A 5,335-nucleotide genomic window follows, 5' to 3' on the forward strand; every position below is an offset into this window, starting at 1 on the left:
AGTGAGATTCTGAATCCTGAGTTCTAGTTTGATTGCACTGTGGTCTGAAAGATAGTTTGTTATAATTTCTGTTCTTTTACATTTGCTGAGGAGAGCTTTACTTCCAAGTATGTGGTCAATTTTGGAATAGGTGTGGTGTGGTGCTGAAAAAAATGTATATTCTGTTGATTTGGGGTGGAGAGTTCTGTAGATGTCTATTAGGTCCGCTTGGTGCAGAGCTGAGTTCAATTCCTGGGTATCCTTGTTGACTTTCTGTCTCATTGATCTGTCTAATGTTGATAGTGGGGTGTTAAATGCTCCCATTATTAATGTGTGGGAGTCTAAGTCTCTTTGTAGGTCACTCAGGACTTGCTTTATGAATCTGGGTGCTCCTGTATTGGGTGCATATATGTTTAGGATAGTTAGCTCTTCTTGTTGAATTGATCCCTTTACCATTATGTAATGGCCTTCTTTGTCTCTTTTGATCTTTGTTGGTTTAAAGTCTGTTTTATCAGAGACTAGGATTGCAACCCCTGCCTTTTTTTGTTTTCCATTTGCTTGGTAGGTCTTCCTCCATCCTTTTATTTTGAGCCTATGTGTGTCTCTGCATGTGAGATGGGTTTCCTGAATACAGCACACTGATGGGTCTTGACTCTTTATGCAATTTGCCAGTCTGTGTCTTTTAATTGGAGCATTTAGCCAATTTACATTTAAAGTTAATATTGTTATGTATGAATTTGATCCTGTCATGATGATGTTAGCTGGTTATTTTGCTCGTTAGTTGATGCAGTTACTTCCTAGTCTCGATGGTCTTTACATTTTGGCATGATTTTGCAGTGGCTGGTACCGGTTGTTCCTTTCCATGTTTAGTGCTTCCTTCAGGAGCTCTTTTAGGGCAGGCCTGGTGGTGACAAAATCTCTCAGCATTTGCTTGTCTGTAAAGTATTTTATTTCTCCTTCACTTATGAAGCTTAATTTGGCTGGATATGAAATTCTGGGTTGAAAATTCTTTTCTTTAAGAATGTTGAATATTGGCCCCCACTCTCTTCTGGCTTGTAGGGTTTCTGCCAAGAGATCCGCTGTTAGTCTGATGGGCTTCCCTTTGAGGGTAACCCGACCTTTCTCTCTGGCTGCCCTTAACATTTTTTCCTTCATTTCAACTTTGGTGAATCTGACAATTATGTGTCTTGGAGTTGCTCTTCTCGAGGCGTATCTTTGCGGCATTCTCTGTATTTCCTGAATCTGAACGTTGGCCTGCCTTGCTAGATTGGGGAAGTTCTCCTGGATAATATCCTGCAGAGTGTTTTCCAACTTGGTTCCATTCTCCCCATCACTTTCAGGTACACCAATCAGACGTAGATTTGGTCTTTTCACATAGTCCCATATTTCTTGGAGGCTTTGCTCATTTCTTGTTATTCTTTTTTCTCTAAACTTCCCTTCTCGCTTCATTTCATTCATTTCATCTTCCATCACTGATACCCTTTCTTCCAGTTGATCGCATCAGCTCCTGAGGCTTCTGCATTCTTCACGTAGTTCTCGAGCCTTGGTTTTCAGCTCCATCAGCTCCTTTAAGCACTTCTCTGTATTGTTTATTCTAGTTATACATTCTTCTAAATTTTTTTCAAAGTTTTCAACTTCTTTGCCTTTGGTTTGAATGTCTTCCCATAGCTCAGAGTAATTTGATTGTCTGAAGCCTTTTTCTCTCAGCTCATCAAAGTCATTCTCCATCCAGCTTTGTTCCGTTGCTGGTGAGGAACTGTGTTCCTTTGGAGGAGGAGAGGCGCTCTGCTTTTTAGAGTTTCCAGTTTTTCTGTTCTGTTTTTTCCCCATCTTTGTGGTTTTATCTACTTTTGGTCTTTGATGATCGTGATGTACAGATGGGTTTTTGGTGTGGATGTCCTTTCTGGTTGTTAGTTTTCCTTCTAACAGACAGGACCCTCAGCTGCAGGTCTGTTGGAGTACCCTGCCGTGTGAGGTGTCAGTGTGCCCCTGCTGGGGTGTGCCTCCCAGTTAGGCTGCTCGGGGGTCAGGGGTCAGGGACCCACTTGAGGAGGCAGTCTGCCCGTTCTCAGATCTCCAGCTGCGTGCTGGGAGAACCACTGCTCTCTTCAAAGCTGTCAGACAGGGACATTTAAGTCTGCAGAGGTTACTGCTGTCTTTTTGTTTGTCTGTGCCCTGCCCCCAGAGGTGGAGCCTACAGAGGCAGGCAGGCCTCCTTGAGCTGTGGTGGGCTCCACCCAGTTAGAGCTTTCCCGGCTGCTTTGTTTGCCTAAGCACGCCTGGGCAATGGTGGGCGCCCCTCCCCCAGCCTTGCTGCCGCCTTGCAGTTTGATCTCAGACTGCTGGGCTGGCAATCAGCGAGACTCCGTGGGCATAGGACCCTCCGAGCCAGGTGCGGGATATAATCTCGTGTTGCGCGTTTTTTAAGCCTGTCAGAAAAGCGCAGTATTTGGGTGGGAGCGACCCGATTTTCCAGGTGCCGTCTGTCACCCCTTTCTTTGACTAGGAAAGGGAACTCCCTGACCCCTTGCACTTCCGGAGTGAGGCAGTGCCTCGCCCTGCTTCGGCTCGTGCAGGGTGCACACACCCACTGACCTGCGCCCACTGTCTGGCACTCCCTAGCGAGATGAACCTGGTACCTCAGATGGAAATGCGGAAATCACCCGTCTTCTGCGTTGCTCACGCTGGGAGCTGTAGACCGGAGCTGTTCCTATTCGGCCATCTTGGTTCCTCCCTCAAATAATTAATAATTTTCAAGCAGATGTTCACACCCACTTTTTGTTTGATTGAAACATATTAAGTGTTCACTGATCACTCTATTAGTACTTTAAATATTTTATAAGACCTCTCAATCTTTTATAGTTGAGAGAAAGTAAATATTAAAACAATTATTAAAATAACACAAAGAAAATAATGTAAACACTTTATAATCTCTCTAAGAATTTTAGAAACATGAAACAATTGCAATATAACCAGGAAGGACCAGCAATGTAACAGCTGAATAGTGAATAGCTGCATGAGGGAACTGATGATAAAAGAATCTTGATGCTGACCACGTCTTCAAAGTCAGAATGTAACTAGGGATAAGCCCTATGATTCTCTCATCCTTTGGTACATAAACTTAGTCATGAGAGGACTACAAAATAATAAATAGAAGAGGTGATTTTCTGACTTATATATGGTAAAAGATCTGCTTCTAACAAATAACATAAACAAACATGGAGAATATAAAACTACATGATTTAGGTTTTCAAAGAGACCCTAGTGATTAAACTCACTCATTTGACAAATAAGGATATTAAGGTCAAAAAAGTAACATTTCCCAATCAAAATAGCATCTGTAGAGGCATTGACACTCTTGCCTCTACTCTCCCAAATGTCCACCAGAGAACAAAGATGTAATCTTAGTATCTAGCACAAACCTTTTGTTTACCATGAATATGCTACCATGAACCCCATAATATTTTGCTGATTTCTAAAATGTTGAATAACAACTATTCATATATAGATCTATTGCTCCATCCATCTCTCAGTTTTTCTGTAAATTGTGGTATCTCTTATTTGTTTTGCTAAAGTAGCTATTGTCCACCTTGCATATTAATCTAATCACAGTGTATCATTGTCCCATTTTAAACATGAAATAAAGATAACTGGGTTATAGAGGTCAATTATCTTGTTCAAGGCCAAGTAATTATTTTGAGACAGATTCTGTTTCCAGACCCAAATGGCTCTAACTCCAACTTTGTTTCTTCATTCTAAATATTTGAATGGGCTTCTGATACCAAATAGAAACTCAATAATAGTGTGCTGAATTAATGAATGAATAAATAGTGGGCCAATAGTAGAATTTGTGTTAGAACATCTCCTCCTTGTAAATTTTAAGTGTGTTCTTTGCATTAATCAACACTATTTTCCCCAATTCTTCTATTGTATTTATTTAAAATTTCTTCTCTTTTAAAAAATTTAATTCCAGTAACATCTCTAAGAAACTGTTAATTTAAATGAGGCAAAACATCTCAACCTTTATTTAAATAAGAAATATAGCAGAGTCATAGACTGGGTTTCCTCCTCCTCTCCAAGCATGTGGGAAAGAAAGGAATTGTCAGTAATTCTCTCCTGGTTAATGAGAAAACGTATAAGCCTTCATTGTTTTAGAAAACAGAGATGTCAAAACAGAGATATCATATTAGATATTACCAAGGGCAACAAATTATTAGCTTACAATCAGTTAGAATCACAGATGTTAAGGAGGTTAAGACTTAGTTTCACAAGATATAGCAAACATACCCATAGTTCAGGATTCTTAGAATTGTTAAAATAACTCTTCAAAAACAGTTGCATAATGCAGAGTTACATCTGTTTTTCTACAGCTGTAAATGAGGAGGGGATAGTTCTTCTTTGTATCTTGCTGAGATTTCTTTCACTGCAGTTAGAAGGGTTTGTAGTTTTCAAGACCAAAGCTAGTTTCATTAGTTAGCTCCAAGAGAAGAAATGGTAGGCTAGGCCAAAGAAGCCCAAAAATCACAGCATGCAAAGGAAATGGCACAAAACAGGATAATTAAAAAACAGTATAGAACAAGCTGTATTTTTTTATCAACAAAGACTTCCCCAAATATTCTAGCTGCACAATTTTCTATCACTTTCTTGATTATCTTCACTAAACGTTAAACCATTTAATATTTTATTACATACTATCTCTTGGTATATAACTAGGTATATCTTATTTACCTACTTCATTTTCCATAATTTTTACTATAGAAATAACATGGTTCTTTAGGTCAGGATCCATAAGAGCTGTTCTACAGTGGCCTCTTGCAATAAATGAAATACTGCTTTGTAGGCATGATCTATCATGCTATATATCGAATAAAGGGAAAGAATGAGTCAAGATTAAAGATAGGGTGGTTTGACCAATAATAGTTAAGTTTCAGAAAAAAAAAATGGTTCCTATGAAATACATCTAACCCTTGTGTTCTATTTTAAAGAAAGCTTCATGTTGTTCAGTAGATAAGATGTATTCAATATTGTACACGCTAAAAATTATTATTCATCTTATGGTCTATTTTAGAGCCTTTTCAAAATGCTTTAAAATGCAAAATGTATTCACATGCAGGTTATCCTCTAAGAAAGATGGTTTACACATAAATATATATTAAAAATTAGCTATATAAGAAAAGAGCAACACTGAAAAACAAAACAGTAATCAGCAATGAGATATTTCCCACTGTTATTTAGCTTCACTGAGTGCAATATACAGTTTTTCCAACAAAGCAACATAGTACAATGGAAAGAAAACCATCTCTGGATTACCACAAATCTGACTTCAAATACTATTTTAAAAATCTACCTTCCTCAT

At 38.8% G+C, this 5,335-nt stretch overlaps 1 annotated feature.

Moving 5' to 3' along the window:
* Positions 1,823–2,438: an enhancer, noted in NCBI's record as "NANOG-H3K4me1 hESC enhancer chr1:80603369-80603984 (GRCh37/hg19 assembly coordinates)". NCBI's record gives its function as "activates a minimal SCP1, AML or CMV promoter by ChIP-STARR-seq in primed H9 embryonic stem cells {active_cell/tissue: H9 hESC(primed)}" and the evidence as "EXISTENCE:reporter gene assay evidence [ECO:0000049][PMID:30033119]".

This window comes from Homo sapiens, chromosome 1 (genome assembly GCF_000001405.40).
Source record: "Homo sapiens chromosome 1, GRCh38.p14 Primary Assembly".
NCBI lineage: Eukaryota > Metazoa > Chordata > Mammalia > Primates > Hominidae > Homo > Homo sapiens.